Source organism: Homo sapiens, chromosome 11 (assembly GCF_000001405.40).
Source record: "Homo sapiens chromosome 11, GRCh38.p14 Primary Assembly".
NCBI classification, from domain to species: Eukaryota; Metazoa; Chordata; class Mammalia; order Primates; family Hominidae; genus Homo; species Homo sapiens.
Window position 1 is genome coordinate 28,419,463 of NC_000011.10, and position 20,119 is coordinate 28,439,581.

General features: G+C 41.0%; 1 protein-coding gene across 2 annotated transcripts in view; it reads left to right on the forward strand.

Moving 5' to 3' along the window:
- The window catches only part of METTL15 (methyltransferase 15, mitochondrial 12S rRNA N4-cytidine), a 424,088-nt gene that overhangs the window by 311,075 nt on the left and 92,894 nt on the right, over positions 1 to 20,119 (forward strand). For both annotated transcript variants that reach the window (XR_007062458.1, XR_930849.3), the window contains one exon: positions 4,837 to 4,902. The gene's annotated coding sequence lies outside the window, so the exon portion shown is untranslated. The remainder of the gene's footprint in view (positions 1 to 4,836; positions 4,903 to 20,119) is intronic.

The following is a 20,119-nucleotide window of genomic DNA, read 5'->3' on the forward strand; positions in this document are numbered from 1 at the left end:
GATATGGCTGCAGTGACCAAAAACATAGATCACAACACCCAAGTACCTTTGAATACCTGGAAAGCCTTCCCAAGAAGGACAGATACAAACAAGTCCAGACTGTGAAGACTACCATAAATACACAACTCTTCAATGCCCAGATACTGACAAACATCCCCAAGCATCAATATCATCCAGGAAAACATGACCTTACCAAATGAACTAAATAAGGTGTGAGAGGCCAATCCTGGACAGACAGAGATATGTGAATTTTCAGACAGATAATTCAAAATAGCTATGTTGAGGAAACTCAAAGAAACCCCAGATAACACAGAGAAGGAATTCAGAATATTATCAGATAAATTTAACAAAGAAATTGAAATAATTAAAAGGAATCAAGCAGAAATTCTCAAATTTAAAATGCAATTGACATATTGAAGAATGTATCAAAGTCTCCTAATAGTAGAATTGATCAAACAGAAGAGAGAATTAGTGAGCATGAAGACAGGCTATTCAAAAATACACAGTCAGAAGAGACAAGGAAAAAAGAATAAAAGAGAATGAAGACCGTCTACAAGATCTAGAAAATATAGCCCAAAAGGGATAAATCTAAGAGTTATTGGCCTTAAAGAAAAGACAGAGAAAGAGACAAAGTTAGAAAGTTTATTTAAAGAGATACTAACAGAGACCTTTCCAAACCTAGAGAAATATATCAATATTCAAGTACAAGAAAGTTAAAATATATACGCACCAACACTGGAACACCCAGATATATAAAACAAATACCATTAGAGCTAAAGAGAGAGCTATACTCCCAATACAGTAATAACTACACAATTCATCACCCTACTTTCAGCACTGGACAGATCTTCCAGACAGAAAATCAACAAAGAAACATTGGACTTAATCTGCATTGTAGATCAAATGATCTAATAGTTATTTACAGAACATTTTATCCAATGACTGTAGAATACACATTCTTTCCCTTAACAAATGGATCATTCTCAAGGATGGACCTTATGTTAGTCCACAAAACAAGTCTTAAAACATTCAAAAATGTTAAAATAATATTAAGTATCTTCTCTGACCACAATGGAATAAAACTAGCAATCAATAATGAGGAATTCTGGAAACTGTACAAATACATGGATATTAAATGATATGCTCCTGAATAACTGGTAGGTCAATGAAGAGATTAATAAGAAAACTGAAAATTTATTTGAAACAAATCATAATGGAAACACAACATTCCAAAAACTATGGGATAGAGCAAAAGCAGTACTAACAGTGAAGTTTATAGCTATAAGTGCCTACATCAAAAAAGACGAAAAACTTCCAATAAACAACCCAGCAATGCATCCTAAAGAACTAGGAAAGCAAGAGCAAACCAAATCCAAAGTTAGTAGAAGAAATTACAAAGATCCGAGCAGAAATAAATGAAATTGAAATGAAGAAACAATAGAAAAGATAAACTAAAAGTTGTTTTTTTTAAAAAGATAAACAAAATTGACAACCTTTTAGCCAGATTAGCTAAGAAACAAAGAGAGAAGACCCCAAAAAAGTCAGAGATGAAATGGGAGACATTCAACCTATACTGCAAAAACTCAAATTAATAGTCAAATTAGAGACTACTTGAGCAACTATATGTGAATAAATTGGGAAACCTAGAAGAAATGAATAAAATTTCTAGATACACACAGCCTACCAAGATTGAACCATGAAGAAATCCAACACCGGAACAGAGCAATAGCAAGTAATAAGATCAAGACCATAATAAAAAACATCTCCCAGCAGAAAAAAGCCTAGGTCTTGGCGGATTCACTGCTGAATTTTACCGAACATTTAAAGAAGAACTAATATCAATCCTACTCAAACTATTATGAAAAATAGAGGTGGAAGTAATACTTCCAAACTCATTCTATGAGGCCAGTATTACCCTGCTACCAAAACAAAAGACACACCAAAAAAAGAAAACTATAGTTCAATATCTCTGATGCATATTAATACAAAAATCGTCAACAGTATACAAGCAAACTGAATTCAGCAACACTTTGAAAAGATCATTCATCATGACCAAGTGGGATTTATCCCAGAGATGCAAAAATCATTCAACATATGCAAATGTATCAGTGTCATATGGCATATCAACAGAATGGAGGACAAAATCCATATGATCATTTCAATTGATGTGAAAAAGCAGTTGAAAAAATTTAACATCTGCATGATAAAAACCCTAAAAAATGACATAGATGTAATAAAAACCGTATATGACAGACTCACAACTAGTATCACAACAAATGGGAAAAAAACAGAAACCCTTTCCTCCAAGATCTTGAACATGACAAGGATGCCACCTTCACTACTGTTATTCAACATAGTACTGTAAGTCCTAGCTAGATCAATCAGACAAGAGAAAGAAATAAAGGGCATCCAAATTGGAAAGGAATAAGTCCAGTTATCCTTTTATGCTAATGATATGATCTTATATTTGGAATACCGTATAGACCCAACCAAAAAACTACTATTACTAATAAACACATTCAGTAAAGTTGCAGGATACAAAATCAGCATACAAAAATCAGTAGCATTTTTATATGCCAACAGCAAACAATCTGGAAAAGAAATCAAGAAAGTAATTCCATTTACAATAGCTATATATAAAATTAAATAACTAGGAATTCATTTAACAAAAGAAGTAAAATATTTCTACAATGAAAACTATAAAACATTGATAAAAGAAATGGAAGGGGATACAAAAAATGGAAGCTATTACATGTTTATGGATTGGAAGAATCAATATTGTTAAAATGTCCATACTACCCAAAGCAATATATAGATTTAATGCAATCTCTATCAAAATACCAATGACATTCTTCACAGAAATAGAAAAAAACAATCCTAAAATTTATGTGGAACTACAAAAGACCCAGATATCCAAAACTATACTGAGCAAAAAGAACAATACTGGAGGAGTTATGTTGCTTCACTTCAAATTACACTACAGAGCTATAGTAACAAAAACAGCATGGTGCTGGCATAAACACAGACACATAGACCAAAGAAATGAACAGAATAGAGAACTCAGAAACAAATCTGTACATATATCTACAGTGAACTGATTTTCCACAAAGGTGCCAAGAACATACACTGGGAAAAGGACAGTCTGTGTAATACATGATGCTGTGAAAACTGGATATTTATATGCAGAAGAATCAAATTAAACCTCTATCCCTTGCCATATACAAAAATAAAATCAAAAGGGATTAAAAACTTAAATCTAAGACCACAAACTATGAAACTGCTAATAGAAAACATTGGAGAAACTCTTCAGAACCTTGACTAGGCAAGGATTTCTTGAGTAATACCCCACAAGGACAGGCAACCAAAGCAAAAATGGACAAATGGGATCATATCAAGCTAAAATGTTTCTTCATAGCAAAGGAAACAATCAACAAAGTAAAGAAAACAGCCCATAGAATGGGAGAAAATGTTTGCAACTACCCATCTAACAAGGGGTTAAAAAATGGAGTATATAAGGAGCTCAAACAAATTTTATAGGGGAAAAAAAACAATAATCCAATTTTTAAAATGGGCAGAAGATATGAATAGACATTTCTTAAAAGAAGACATACAAATGGCAAACAGGTATATAAAAATGTTCAACATCACTTATCAGAGAAACACAAATCAAAATGATAATGACATCTCAATTCATCTCAGTTAAAATAACTTTTATCCAAAACACAGTCACTAACAAATGCTTTCAAGGATGTAGAGAAAAGAGAACCCTTATACACTGTTGTTGAAATGTAAATTAGTACAACCACTATGGAGAACATTTTGGAAGTTCCTCAAAGAACTAAAAACAGAGCTATCATGTGATCCATCAATCCCAATGCTAGGTAGATACCCCCCCAAAAAAAGAAAATCAATGTATTGAATGAAGAGATACCTGGACCCCTATGTTTATTGCAACACTACTCACAATAGCCAAGATTTGGAAACAACCTAAGTGTCCATCAACAGACAAATGAATAAAGAAAATATAGTATATTTACACAATGGAGTATTATTCAACCATAAAAAATAATGAGACCCTATCATTTGCAACAACATGGATAGACTGGAGGTTATTATGTTAAGTGAAATAATCCAAGAATAGAAAGACAAACTTCACATTTTCTCACTTATTTTGGGAAGCTAAGAATTAAAACAATTGAACTGATGGAGATAGAGAGTAGAAGGATGGTTACCATAGGCTGGGAAGGGTAGCAGGGGAATGGAGAGTAGTAGGGATAGTTAAAGGGGCCAAAAAAATAGTTGGAAAGAATGAGTAAGACCTAGTATTTGATAGCACAACAGGATGACTGTAATTAATAATTTAACTGTACATTTTAATATAACTAAAAGTATAATTGAATTGTTTGTAACACAAAAGATAAATGTGTGAGGTGATGGATACCTCATGCACTCTGATGTGATTATTACACATGCATGCTTATATCAAAATATCCCATATACCCCATAAACATATACTCCTATTATGTACTCATAAAACTTTTTTTTAAAAAACCCCAAAGAAACAAACAAAAAACTTCCATAAAACCTAGCCATATGCTTTGCATTTTTAGAGCCCTTTATACTGTTCAATATGTTCTCCCTACTGACATCTGCATTTGTCATTTTCGTATGATGTTAATGTTCCATCATTTTTATAGACATAATGACTGAAAAATTTTCTTAAACTAGTCTTGCTAATAAGTAAAAATATCTTAACTTCATCTTACAGAAAACTAAAAATGTCTAGCATGTTGCTTGTTTTCTTTTTTCCTGAACATTTGCCCTTTCTGTTTCTAGGCTGCACATGTTCTTCGGAAAAAGATCTAAAAGCATCACCTTTTGCTTTGTCTGCTGGTGCTTAAGGTGAGTCACTATTATAGGCCCCTCTCTCCCACTTAGTTTTCTGCATGGAGGATAACCTGAGGTAAAAGGGTAGAGAAGGCAGATACATATGACAAAGACAGGTAGGAGGGAAGCAAAGAGGGGCATCGGTTCAATGCAACAATTAGAGTTGTCTACACATAATCCCTTCAGAAAAGCATTAGCATGGGCTCTTCAAAGCTGTTTGGTTCTTGTCAGTTACAGAACTTTTATATTCTATGAGTAACTGGATTGTTAAAACATGTGTGATGGTGAAGAAGGTGACCCCTGCCAACCTGTGCTTTAAATGGGCTTGTTTAGTGTTGGGAGAGAGCCATTAGGCCACACACAGAAGAAATGTGCCCTCTTTCAATTCTTCCACCAAGAGATGTGGAAGGTATGATTTATCACATAAGGCCAAGACTTTTTGCATGGCTGGTATGACACCAGACATTCCAGACTTCCTCTGTGTCCCTTTTTCTCTTCATTGAGCTTCAACCTGTGGTACCACTACAGGGATGTGGGAAAAGCAGAAAACGTATGTTTACAGCTACTGTAATAGCAGTGGTTGGTTGTAGAAGACTTGTTGAAACTATAGCAAGTTCCTTGCTGGGATGGGAGCATGAGTCTATACAGAGCATGGAAATAACCCACTGTTAAGTGAAAACCATTCATAGTTTTTATAAGATCATTTTCCTGCTGGTAGACTTGGCCTCTGGTGATATCTTCTGGGCTCTAGTTCCTATCAGAAGACTGAGAGGCAGATGGGCTGTAGGAACAATAAAACCTACTTAAATCTGTTTCATGAAGTAGAAAGAGCAAGAATTGGTTTTCTGTCCATCAATCCATCCCTCCATCTATTCACCCATCCATCTATTCATTCTTTCCACACAGAAGTCAAAGTAATGTTTCCAAAATATGCATCTGGTCATATTACTGCCTTCTTTAAATCCTTTCCTAGTTTTGCCCTCAAGGTGAAGTCCAGACTCCTGAATGTCACCTCCTTGGCCCTGCATAATCATAATCAGGCCTCTGTCCACTTCTCTAGTGACATCTCTTGTTTGATTTCTCACATCGTTTTATATACTCTAAACTTCTGTCATGCAGGGTATCCCTCAGTAACTTGAAAGAATTATGCTCCTTTTTGTCTTTGGAGCTTTGAACAAGTTGTTCTTTCCCCTTCCTCTCCATCCTTTGCTTTTATGACCTCTAATCGTTCATCACTTCACCTAAGCGGCCTCACCTTCAGGGAATATTTGGTTCCCGTACTAAGTGCTCTCATAGCACCCGCTAGCCTCCTATCAGAGCGTTGTAGTAAGTATTTCTACCTTTAATGCATCGTATATGCATTGCACTTTAAGCTCCTTAAAGGCATAGATGGTACCTGTATATATTTTTTGTTGTTGAGACACTAATAGCTAGCACAGAGTCTGCCACATAAGACTTCAGCAAATATTTTTTGTATAAAATTGTATGACCAAGATTGGCAATATAGCTTTAAGATTGGGTTTTGTTGACAAACTATTTGAATCTGTATTCCAGCTTCACTATTTGCACAATGCATGACTTTGGGCAATTTATTTATTTTTTAAAATTTTAAGTTCAGGGGTACATGTGCAGGTTGTCCAGGTTTGTTACATAGGTAATGTGTGCCATGGTGGTTTGCTGCACAGTTCATCCCATCACCTAGGTATTCAGCCCAACATTAGCTATTCTTCCTAATGCTCTTCCTCCTCCCCACCCACACTCTGACAGGCCTCCAGTGTGTGTTGTTCCCCCTCATATTTCCATGTGTTCTCATAGTTCACCTCCCACTTATAAGTGAGAACATGCGGTATTTGGTTTTCTGTCCCTGTGTTAATTTGCTGAGGATAATGGCTTCCAGCTCCATCCATGTCCCTGCAAAGGACATGATCTCGTTCCTTCTTATGGTTACATAGTATTGTATATGTGCCACATTTTCTTCATCCAGTCTATCATTGATGGGTGTTTAGTTTGATTCCATATCTTTGCTATTGTGAATAGTGCTGCATGTGTCTTTATAATAGAATGATTTATATTCCTTTCAGTATATACCCAGGAATGGGATTGCTGGGTCGAATGGTATTTCTGCCTCTGTCTTTGAGGAATCTCCACACTGTCTTCCACAATGGTTGAACTAGTTTACATTCCCACTAAAAGTGTAAAAGCATTATTTTTTCTCTGTAACCTTGCCAGCATCTGTTTTTTTTTTTTTTTTTTTTTTGACTTTTTAGTAATAGCCATTCTGACTGGTGTGAGATGGTATCTCATTGTGGTTTTGATTTGCATTTCTCTAATGATCAGTGCTGTTGAGCTTTTTTTCATATGTTTATTGGCTGAATGTATGTCCTCTTTTGAGAAGTGTCTGTTCATGTCCTTTGCCCACTTTTTAATGGTGTTGTTTATTTTTTTTTTCTTGTAAATGTGTTTAAGTTCCTTGTAGATGCTGGATATTAGACCTTTGTCAGATGGATAGATTGCAAAAATTTTTTCTCATTCTGTAGGTTGACAGTTCACTCTGATGATAGGTTTTTTTTCTGTGTAGAAGCTCTTTAATTAGATCCCATTTGTGAATTTTTGCTTTTGTTGCAATTGCTTTCGATGTTTTCGTCATGAAGTCTTTGCCCATGCCTATGTCCTGAATGGTATTGCCTAGATTTTCTTCCAGGGCTTTTATAGTTTCCAGTTTTACCTTTAAGTCTTTAATCCATCTTGAATTGATTTTTGTATGTTGTGTAAGGAAGTAGTCCGCTTTCAATTTTCTTCATTTGGCCAGCCAGTTCTCCAAGCACCATTTATTAAATAGGGAATTATTTCCCCATTGTTTGTTTTTGTCAGGTTGTCAAAGATCAGATGGTTGTAGGTCTGTGGTCTTATTTCTGGGTTCTCTATTCTGTTCCCTTGGTCTATGTGTCTATTCTTGAACCAGTACCATACTGTTTTGATTACTGTAGCCTTGTAGTATAGTTTGAAATCAGGTAGTGTGATGCCTCCAGCTTTGTTCTTTTTGTTTAGGATTGTCTTGGCTCTCTGGGCTTTTTTTGGTTCCATATGAATATTAAAATAGTTTTTTCCAATTCTGTGAATAATGTCAACGGTAGTTTAATGGGAATAGCATTGAATCTACAAATTACTTTGGGCAATATGGCCATTGTCACCATATTGATTCTTCTTATCCATGAGCATGGAATGTTTTTCCATTTGTTTGTGTCCTCTCTGACTTCTTTGAGCAGTGGTTTGTAGTTCTTCTTGAAGAGGTCCTTCACTTCCCTTGTTAGCTGTATTCCTAGGTATTTTATTCTTTTTGTGGCAATTGGGAATGGGAGTTCATTCATGATTTGGCTGTCAGCTTGCCTGTTGTTGGTGTATAGGAATGCTAGCGATTTTCGCACACTGATTTTGTATCCTGAGACTTTGCTGAAGTAGCTTATTGGCTTAAGAAGCTTTTGGGCTGAGAGGATGGGATCATGTCATTTGCAAACAAAGATAGTTTGACTTCCTGTCTTTCTATTAGAATACCTTTATTTCTTTCTCTTGCCTGATTGCCCTGGCCAGAACTTCCAATACTACGTTGAACAGGAGTGATGAGAGAGAGCATCCTTGTTTTGTGCTGGTTTTCCAGATTTGGGGCAATTTATTTCATGTGCTTGGGCCTTGACTTTCTTTCTATTAAGTAGGAATAATAGTACAATAATTAAATGCTTAATGACAGGGATACATTTCTATAAATGTGTCATTAGGTAATTTTGTACAAACGTTGTAGAGTGTACTTACACAAACCTAGATAGTATAGCCTACTACACACTCAGGCTATATAGTATAGCCTATTGCTCCTAAGCTATAAACCTATATAGCAGGTTACTGTACTGAATACTGTAAGCAATTATAACACAATGGTAAGTATGTGTGTGTCTACACATAGGTAGACATAGAAAAGGTACAGTAAAAATATGATATTATGGTCTTTTGGGACCACTGCCATATGTGGTCTATTGTCGACCAAAATGTTATTTAGTGCATAATTGTATATACAATCCTAGGATGTGGTTAAATGAGATAACTCATGCCAAGCACTTAGACTAGTGTCTAGCACATATAATACACTTAGTTCTATGTGGTTATAATTAAGTGTCTTCTACATGCAGAGCTCTAGATGTAAACCCATGGTGGAATTTAAAAATATGTAATCTACAGTTATTTCAGGGACTGGCTTAATTTCTGTAAACCTCATAAATGGCTCCCTGAGACAAGCTGGCTACTAACACTAACATGGACTCTGGGAGGCACTTTGCTCTATATCTGACATAGGGGCTCAAGACCATCATTCTGACTGCTCATATGGCACATAATCCTCGACCTAGTCCAACATCTCCAAATTCCTGAGCTTAAGTAACTTCTAGAGTTTCTGTCTTGTTCTCTCCTATCTTTATTTCTTTCCCAGGACTCTGGTACTTCTGGAGCCTGCATCTGTCACTGGCAGATCCCCTTCCTATAACCTGATACCTGGCATCCTATTCCTAAAGCCCAGGCCCTGCTGGAGCCATGCTAATTCTCTGGTGCTGACCACCTATTCATATTACCTTTATCTGGAAGGCTCATCACCATGTTCTCCCTGCCTGACTTTTTAACCCCCTATTATACTGCCTGCCTGACTGGACTGCTGCTACCTCTCTCCTACATGGTAACCAAGCTCTGCTGGCCCATCTGGAGTACAGCTGGGTCAGCCTCTTATTACTTATCCTACCCTATTTTGTGTAATAGGTTTCTCAGTCTGAGTATCTCTTCTCAATTTTATTTTGCCATCACCCAAACTCCTGTTTAAGGCATCCCTGCTTACAAGAAACTGCAATGTCTTGGGGGAGATAATGTATGTCCTTAGATGACAATTAAAGAAGATCGAAAGTCAAGAGTAACTTGAAATATTGGTAAAAAGTGCCTTCTTATAAAACCTTAAAGAGTAAACAGTAGCCCTCTCCCTCTCCCTCTCCCTCTCCCTCTCCCTCTCCCTCTCCCCACGGTCTCCCTCTCATGCGGAGCCGAAGCTGGACTGTACTGCTGCCATCTCGGCTCACTGCAACCTCCCTGCCTGATTCTCCTGCCTCAGCCTGCTGAGTGCCTGCGATTGCAGGCACGCGCCGCCACGCCTGACTGGTTTTGGTGGAGACGGGGTTTCGCTGTGTTGGCCGGGCCGGTCTCCAGCCCCTAACCGCAAGTGATCCGCCAGCCTTGGCCTCCCGAGGTGCCGGGATTGCAGACGGAGTCTCGTTCACTCAGTGCTCAATGGTGCCCAGGCTGGAGTGCAGTGGCGTGATCTCGGCTCACTACAACCTACACCTCCCAGCCGCCTGCCTTGGCCTCCCAAAGTGCCGAGATTGCAGCCTCTGCCCGGCCGCCACCCCGTCTGGGAAGTGAGGAGCGTCTCTGCCTGGCCGCCCATCGTCTGGGATGTGAGGAGCCCCTCTGCCTGGCTGCCCAGTCTGGAAAGTGAGGAGCGTCTGCGCCCGGCCGCCATCCCATCTAGGAAGTGAGGAGCGCCTCTTCCCAGCCGCCATCACATCTAGGAAGTGAGGAGCGTCTCTGCCCGGCCGCCCATCGTCTGAGATGTGGGGAGCGCCTCTGCCCCGCCGCCCCATCTGGGATGTGAGGAGCGCCTCTGCCCGGCCGAGACCCCATCTGGGAGGTGAGGAGCGTCTCTGCCCGGCCGCCCTGTCTGAGAAGTGAGGAGACCCTCTGCCTGGCAACCACCCCGTCTGAGAAGTGAGGAGCCCCTCCGCCCGGCAGCTGCCCCGTCTGGGAAGTGAGGAGCGTCTCCACCCGGCAGCCACCCCGTCCGGGAGGGAGGTGGGGGGGGTCAGCCCCCCGCCAGGCCAGCCGCCCCATCCGGGAGGGAGGTGGGGGGTCAGCCCCCCCGCCCGGCCAGCCGTGCCATCCGGGAGGGAGGTGAGGGGGTCAGCCCCCCGCCCGGCCAGCCGTGCCATCCGGGAGGAGGTGGGGGGGTCAGCCCCCCGCCCGGCCAGCCGCCCCGTCCGGGAGGTGAGGGGCGCCTCTGCCCGGCCGCCCCTACTGGGAAGTGAGGAGCCCCTCAGCCTGGCCAGCCACCCCGTCCGGGAGGGAGATGGGGGGGTCAGCCCCCCACCCGGCCAGCCGCCCCGTCCGGGAGGGAGGTGGGGGGGTCAGCCCCCCGCCTGGCCAGCCGCCCCGTCCGGGAGGGAGGTGGGGGGGTCAGCCCTCCGCCCGGCCAGCCACCCCGTCTGGGAGGTGAGGGGCGCCTCTGCCCGGCCACCCCTACTGGGAAGTGAAGAGCCCCTCTGCCCGGCCAGCCGCCCCGTCTGGGAGGGAGGTGGGGGGGTCAGCCCTCCGCCTGGCCAGCCGCCCCGTCTGGGAGGTGAGGGGCGCCTCTGCCCGGCCGCCCCTACTGGGAAGTGAGGAGCCCCTCTGCCCGGCCAGCCGCCTGGTCCGGGAGGGAGGTGGGGGGGGTCAGCCCCCCGCCCGGCCAGCCGCCCCGTCCGGGAGGGAGGTGGGGGGGTCAGCCCCCCGCCCGGCCAGCCGCCCCGTCCGGGAGGTGAGGGGCGCCTCTGCCCGGCCGCCCCTACTGGGAAGTGAGGAGCCCCTCTGCCCGGCCAGCCGCCCTGTCCGGGAGGGAGGTGGGGGGGTCAGCCCCCTGCCCGGCCAGCGGCCCCGTCCGGGAGGTGAGGGGCGCCTCTGCCCGGCCGCCCCTACTGGGAAGTGAGGAGCCCCTCTGCCCGGCCAGCCGCCCCATCCGGGAGGGAGGTGGGGGGGTCAGCCCCCTGCCCGGCCATCCGCCCCGTCCGGGAGGTGAGGGGCGCCTCTGCCCGGCCGCCCCTACTGGGAAGTGAGGAGCCCCTCTGCCCAGCCACCACCCCGTCTGGGAGGTGTGCCCAACAGCTCATTGAGAACAGGCCAGGATGACAATGGCGGCTTTGTGGAATAGAAAGGCGGGAAAGGTGGGGAAAAGATTGAGAAATCGGATGGTTGCCATGTCTGTGTAGAAAGAAGTAGACACGGGAGACTTTTCATTTTGTTCTGCACTAAGAAAAATTCTTCTGCCTTGGGATCCTGTTGATCTGTGACCTTACCCCCAACCCTGTGCTCTCTGAAACATGTGCTGTGTCCACTCAGGGTTAAATGGATTAAGGGCGGTGCAAGATGTGCTTTGTTAAACAGATGCTTGAAGGCAGCATGCTCGTTAAGAGTCATCACCAATCCCTAATCTCAAGTAATCAGGGACACAAACACTGCGGAAGGCCGCAGGGTCCTCTGCCTAGGAAAACCAGAGACCTTTGTTCACTTGTTTATCTGCTGACCTTCCCTCCACTATTGTCCCATGACCCTGCCAAATCCCCCTCTGTGAGAAACACCCAAGAATTATCAATAAAAAAATAAATTTAAAAAAAAAAAAAAAAAGAAAAAAAAAAAAAAAGAAGAGTAAACAGTAATTAGACAGGGGAAAGATAATGCTTTTGTTTGGTGAAAACTATACTCACACTCCAGGAAAGAGGCAGACTAACAGCTAATTGGACAACAAGCAAGCTGTGTCTCCACAGGGTGCCCATCATAGGATTCTCAACTCTCTCCCAGATTCTATTAGGAATGGAGGAATCCTTCCATTAACACCAGAGTGTGTAACTAAGGGTGAAGAAAAGACTTCAACTTTCCACTGCAAAATCTTCTGTGACTTGGACTCCATCTCATGGAGAATACCTTTGTGTGCCATGCAAGGAGTTATAATGGGGTTGACCAAATTCTTAGTCAAACCTTATAGTCTGACATGGACAAAAATGGTATAGATAGTTATTGACGATGGAAAAGAATAAAGACATTGAGCTGGAAAAGAAAAGGCAACTTGCTGCTATTTTAACTGTTTTGTATTGTCTTCATGATATTCTGGTAGTTCAATCAAAGTTAGGTATATCTCTTTCTTTTTAAGGAATTAAGTAAAAGAATCAATAATTATGGCTGTAATCATTCAACTAAGTCTACTTATGTACACATGATTGGAAATGGCCATTCATGTTTATTACTCTTTTCTCTCCTTGGAAAAATGTATTGGAGGAAAGAGAAGTTTCTTCTTCAATATTGTCCATTGAAGGCAAGAGGGGCGAATGCTCTCTTTCAGTCAGTGGTCTGGCAGTTCTGTTTGCCCGATATAGAAAAACGAGAAAGAGTTTTAGTGTTAGACAAATCTAAGTTTGTACCTCTCCACCATTTTTAGCAGAAGGATCTTTCTCTCACTGAACTTCATCTGTAAAATGGAAATAATAATATCGAACTCATAGTGTTTCCATGAAGATTAAATTATGAATTCCATTGTCAAAGGTATGGCAGAGTGAGTAGTACACGTAGGGACATATTCAATGAATTCTCAGCTGTTCTTGTTAATTAGGGGAGGTAATATGGAAGCAATTGTGCCCTGGGAAGAATGTTTTATAGCATGTCCTTGTTTGACCATAACCTAGTGAAGCATTCTTTCTTAGCAACAAACTCCCAGAGCACTGGCTCATTTTGGTAACCTCCTTTTTTTCCACATTTTTTTTTTTTGCCTTTTGCCTCTAGATATACAAAGGTCATTCTTATCTGTATAAACTATTTTCCTTTATATCAAAGATGCCAAAAACCTATATTCACTTAATTTCTTTTTCAAATGTCATCTTGTTAATTTCTTCCTGAACACATTGAGGAACTGTCATTCTATTAATGCCATAATAAAATCCAAAGTTTCCTTGCCTTCGCCTTGCAGGACTTCTCTCAGGTTTTGTTTTGTTTTTTTTGTTTTTTTTTGGCTCTGTCATTAGTACTATTATTCTCTTACTCATTTGTTGTCAATTTATCCTTTTATTCATTTACTTTCTTCTCATTTCTTCATTCATTAACTCAACAAATATGTATTCTATATACCATAACAAACCTGAGTTGACACTGGGGAGCTAGCAAGTATCCCAATAAGAGAGGAAGAATAGGGTAGTGTTTAAGAATGAATGCTTTCAAGTCAGAGGAAGACCTCTGTTTGAACTTTGACTCCATTGTGTTTTAGCTGGCTGACCATGGGCAAATCACTTCAAATTCCCTAGACTTCAGTTTCTCATGTGTAAAATGGGGATAATATCAGTTCCTGTTTTCCAAGGATACTGTAAAAAGTAAACAAGACAATTAATGAACGCAAATTTCTTAGTTCACTGCCTGACATGTAATAAGAATATACGGTCAATGAGTGTTAGATTTGATGATGGTGGTGATGATGACGATTATCTTTAATTATTTGGTTCTTCATGGAGCTTAGACTTTAGTAGAGACATCACATAAGTTTCCATGGAGCTATTGAAGGTCTTTAAGTAGATTAATGACTAGGTTGTGATGACCTTTGATGCCTCCTTTTTCACATCTCCCCATCTACAACTAGACTCTACAACTAGTTGAGTTGTCCTTGATACGTCTTATAGATCAATCCTTTCTTCTCCAATACCACTGAGAATCCCCCCATTCATCTAAAATGTAATGTTTAATTGAAGCATTATCTAATTATCAAATGTAGTTAAACTAGACTCCTTCCTAAGTGAAGGATGGTCTCCTTGGGCATCGTTCTGCATTTAAGAGGCTGAACTGTTCTATGATGGTGATCTACTTTGGCTGTTTCCCCACCCAAATCTCATCTTGAATTGTAGTTTCCATAATCCCCACATGTCGTGGGGAGGAACTAGGTGGAGATAATTGAATCATGGAAGCAGTTTTTTCCATCCTGTTCTTGTGATAGTGAGTTAGTTCTCACGAGATCTGGTGGTTTTATAAGGGGCTTCCCCCTTCACTTGGCTCTTATTCTTCTCCTTCCTGCCATCACATGAAGAAGGACGTGTTTACTTCCCCTTCCACCATGACTGTAAATTTCCTAAGGCCTGCCCAGCCATGCTGAACTGTGAGTCAATTAAACCTCTTTCCTTTATAAATTACCTAGTCTCAGTTATGTCTTTATTAGCAGTGTGAGAATAAACTAAGGCAGATGGCATAATCACATCTCTGACCAAGGCTATTTTCAATGGTTCAGACACTGACTTGTTGAATTCTCATATTGGTAGTCACCTCTCTGCTATTCTTTCCATCTGTTTGTAAATTTAGAGATGTCCATCTAGCTGAGATTTTATGAATATCACTAAAAGATGAATCTATTAATGAGGGAATATCCTTCAAATTTGCCTCCAACTTCTTTAAAAGGAACTCTACTACTGAGATGGTAAATGGATTTCATCACACATGCTGTCTGTATCAGTTCACACTTGCTGTGTGACATAAACTTAGTGGTCATTATTTCTTGTGGGTCTACTGTCTGGCTGAAAGATTCTGCTGATCTAGGATAGGCTCAGCTCATTTTGCCATCTTGGGCATCTGCAGTCAGCTGGCAAGTTGACTAGGGATGGTTTAGTCTAGTATAGGTTCAGCTAGAACAACTTGGCTCTCTTCTATGTGTCTTTCATTCCCTTCAGCAGGCTAGCCTGGTAGGTTCTCATGGTAGTGGCAGGAATCAAAGAGAGAAGGCAGAAATGCATGAGCAAATTTTCAAGCTTCTGCTGGTTTCAAGTTTTTCTCACTCATCCAAACAAGTCATCTGTTTAAGCCTAGAGTTAGAGTGTGACAGTAGTACCAAAGGGGAAAGATATAGCAGTTATGAAAACCTGTGTCCCCTAATTTGCTCAATCTTCCATAGTCTGCCTTCAGGGCACAATTACTAACATGCTTGACCACGTGAAATACATTCCTCCTTTCCCAGGACCCTCCAAAATCTCTTCAAGTTGGGGCATCCTACTTGAAGTCCAGGGCATTGTGATCTACATCAGGTTCATTACATGCTGCTCTTAATCCAAAAAGTTATGTACTGGCAAAAAAGTATTTGCTCTAAACATACTCAACATAGAATGGCAAAACGAGGACAGAATAACCTATATAAGTATTCTCATTTAGAAAGGGGATGAATTGAAACTACATAGCAGTCACTGGTCCATGGAAACTCTGAACTCTTTCTGGGCAGATGCTTTCCATTTACCCTACTCTGGAGATGGGAAATGTTCTTTGATTCGTTCTGCTTTCTGGGAATGCTCCTCAGTCTATTGTTCTCCATGGCTCTTGGCATGTCTCTTCCACTTTTCTTGCCCACTTCAGAAGAGAATATTGGAAAATATTCCTGCTTCCTGCCTATAGAAAATTAGGGGCAGAGATGTCTCTCTACAAGTGTGAGACACCTCTATAGAGTCTCAATTCTTTTTTCCTCCAGGCTGGCAAACTGTTGCCAATGTAGCTGAATTAAAAACATTGTGAATTCCTATGAATATGGTTGGATTCTACTTCATGATATAAAAGTCACACCTTTACTATTCTTCTAAGCCCTTTTGCATAGTAGAGAAACCCTGCTAGACTTTGCCTGAATTCCTTCACGGATCTTCAAAAAGGGTCTTATAGCCATGCCTGTGATTTTGTCTTTGCCCCCAAGCTAAAATTTGTTTTGAGAGTTATATTGCTCCCTTGAGGGGCTAGAGATAAAAACAGTTTTATGTCCCTCCCGGAAAATCATGGACTCCCTATTTTCTCTATGTTCTTCTTGTAGAATAGCTAGTCTTTAATTTAGAATATATCTTTCTTGTAGCAGTGTATCAAATACAGTCAATAAGAGCCAGTTGGCACTTTCAACATCCTGCATGGAAATCTCATTGCTTAAATCCTAAAGTTCATTAGTACATTTAAAATTTTCTTAGTTATAACAGGTGACAGTCTTAACAGTGGTTTCACCGTTATATGAAATGGATCGCCATTTCTCCAGTCTCCTTTAACAGCTTCCTCACCATTATTCTAGCTTCTGCCAACTTTTCTGACCCAAAGCCAATGTCACATCTTTTAAGTTTTAGTTATGACAGAACCGAAGTGCAACACCAAATTCTTTATCAGTTTGCTATTGTGCATTATAAACCACTCCAAAACTTAGTGGCTTAAAATAACAACTGTATATTATTTTTCACAATTCTATGGATTTATAGAAGATTTTGCAGATCTGAGCTATGCCAAATGCATCAGTGTTCCATGCATCCGTGGTCAGCTGGCAGATCCACTAGCACCTGGCTAATCCAAGGTTGCCTTGGTTGGGAAATTTCAGCCCTCCTCCATATATCTCTGACATTGAGTGTTTTTTTTTTTTGGAAATGCTTGCATGGAATACTGTTTTTAAATGTTCAGAGGCTGTATATAGGCTCAGCAGAAAAAGCTACTCTGTTAATTAGTGATTTTGGTCATGGGTGAGGGAGATAGAAAAGGTAGCACATATGCCATGTGCTCACTATTTCTCTCTTGTTTCCTAGGTTTTCAAGGGTAGAAATCAGAGATCTCATTTTATACACTCAGTGTGATAGTTAATATTGAGTGTCAACTTGATTGGATTGAAGGTTGCAAAGTATTGTTCCTGGGTGTGTCTATGGGGATGTTGTGAAAGGAGAATAACATTTGAGTCAGTGGACTGGGAGAGGCAGACCCATCCTCAATCTGGGTGGGCACCATCTAATCAGTTGCCAGCATGGCTAGAATAAAGCAGGCAGAAGAAGGCGGGTGAAGCTGACTTGCAGAGTCTTCCAGCCTTCATCTTTCTTCCATGCTAGATGCTTCCTGCCCTTGAACGTCAGACTCCAAGTTCTTCAGCTTTTGGACCCTTGGACTTAACACCAGTGGTTTGCCAGGGGCTTTCAGGCCTTCAGCCACAGACTGAGGGCTGCACTATCAGCTTCCCTACTTTTGAGGTTTGGGGACTCAGACTGGGCCACTACTGGTTTCCTTGCTCCTCATCTTGCAGATGGCCTATTGTGGGACTTCACCTTGTGATCATGGGAGTCGATTCTCCTTAATAAACTCCCTTTCATATCTACATATATCCTATTAGTTCTTTCCCTCTAGAGAACCCTAATACACTCACCTAGCATGATGCCTGACAAATATTAGGTGCTTAATAGATATTTTGCATAAATAATTGAATAAATAAATGGAAAAGGAAGATGCACATATAGGGATGCAACATGGACGAAATTTTTAGCCAGATATCCTTCAACTGGTCAGATGTTTTTCTCCTCAGTTTTTAAACACACCCTATACAGCACTCGTCTTGTTACACTTTCTCAAATATTATATGGGCATACTTGCTTTTGCCCTTGTGATTTCAGCAGATGAATATGCTCTTTTCATACTTGAATGTCAAAATTTGCCTCAATTTACAGTTTTGCTTAAATCTCTCCTTTTCAGTCAACCTGAGTCAGAAGCAATCTCATTTTGTACTTGTTCGTTTTATTTTGCCTAGTACTAGAATGAATCATTTCTAGCTGGGTCTCTGACACCCCAGCTAGATTGAAAACTGCTAGAGGACATGGTTTACACATCATTTGTCTAAACATTCTTCACAGTGCCCAGCCCAGTTTCTTCCAAATGATGTGATTAGTTACATTTGTTGAATGAATAAATGAATGAATGCGTGAATAAATGAACCAAATTTCTACCAAACAAGGGCAGGGACTTTGTCTATCCTGTTTATCCTTAGCTGTTAGTTCAGTGCCTTGTACATGGTAGGTGCTCAATAAATATTTACTGAATAAAAAAAATGAATCATTGAATAGCTAAATGAATTAATGAACAAAGTGGGGGAAAAAGCAAATGCAGACTTATTATTCCTATTTTAAGAAGTTACACTTTACATTACATTAGAAAATAATTTCATGATTGATGTTAATGGTAATTCCTTAGAACAGCCCAGGAACTCAATTCTATTATTATCCTTGTTTTCATTCTTGCTCAAAGACCTTTTCCCAGGCAGTGAGAAAGAGAAATTGTGCACTATTCTCTCTAGGAGCTTCATTTATAAAGTGAACTATTTCAGAGTTTATAACAAGGCATATGGGCTGTTAGAGTCTTTTCAGGCCACGTAGGACTGGGCTTGTCCTTGTAGGCAGAAACGGCGAGTGCCTGTGTCCTACATCGGGTTGTCTGGTAGATCTTAAAGTCCTTCCTTTGGTCCCAAATATTTTCTATTTTCTCTCTTGCTGGGACATATTCCCTGTGCTTGAGAGATTTAGGGCTCAGTGAAGTGGTTGTCAGACTTTATCATCTGACTGAATCCCACTTCTCACCCTCTGAACATTCAAGTTTAGTTGGCCTGGGGCCAAGTCCCAGGAAACTGTATTTTATCAACCACCCCACTCCCAAGATTCTGATATTGGCGGTCTATAGATCACGCTTTTTTTTTCTTTTTTCTTTTTTCTTTTTTTTTTTTTTTTTTTGGAGACAGAGTCTCGCTCTGTCGCACAGACTGGAGTGCAGTGGCACGAACTCGGCTCACTGCAACCTCCGCCTCCCAGGTTCAAACAATTCTCCTGCCTCAGCCTCCTGAGTAGCTGGGATTACAGGTGCATGCCACCATGCCCAGCTAATTTTTGTATTTTAGTAGAGACGGGGGGGTTTCACCATGTTGGCCAGGCTGGTCTCGAACCCCTGACTGCAGGTGATCCACCCACCTCGGCCTCCCAAAGTGCTGGGATTACAAGCGTGAGCCACCGCGCCCAGCCAGACCACATTTTTAAAACCATTAATTGTGTGTGTATGTGAAGAATGCAAAAAAAAAAAGTGCTGTAAGTGCTGTGATGGATGTCTGTGTAAGATCCAGCAGAGGCAGAAAAGTGGAAGCTGTTACCCTTTGCTAGGGATCTCTGGATTTTTGTTCAGTCTTAGATGAGCATTTTCTCTTTTGCAATAACTTGTAACAATTTTAGAATCCATAGAGGGAACAATTGAAGTCCTAAAGGGACTAGGATATCTGTGGAGGTTGACAATTTTGTTACGGCTACTCCTTTCCTAGAAAAATCCCAGGAGGGTGCCCATTGTGTGTTACATAGTTCTGAGAATATCTCCACTAACCTTCCTGCTAGCAAAAGAATAATAAACGCTCGCTATGCTGAGCATGTACCCAGGATGAAGACAGCAGAAATGAAAGGGTTACGCAGGACAAATGTGCTTCACGAGAGCTCAAGAAAATTCTGTTTCCAAGTCAAGTAGTCAATGCAATTTAGAATAGGCAAATTTTGTCTGTTGAGTATCTTGTCTCATTGTGTACCTAAACTTGGACTTGATGGTGCAGTTTCACTTAGAGCTCTATATTTGTCTTCCCTCATTA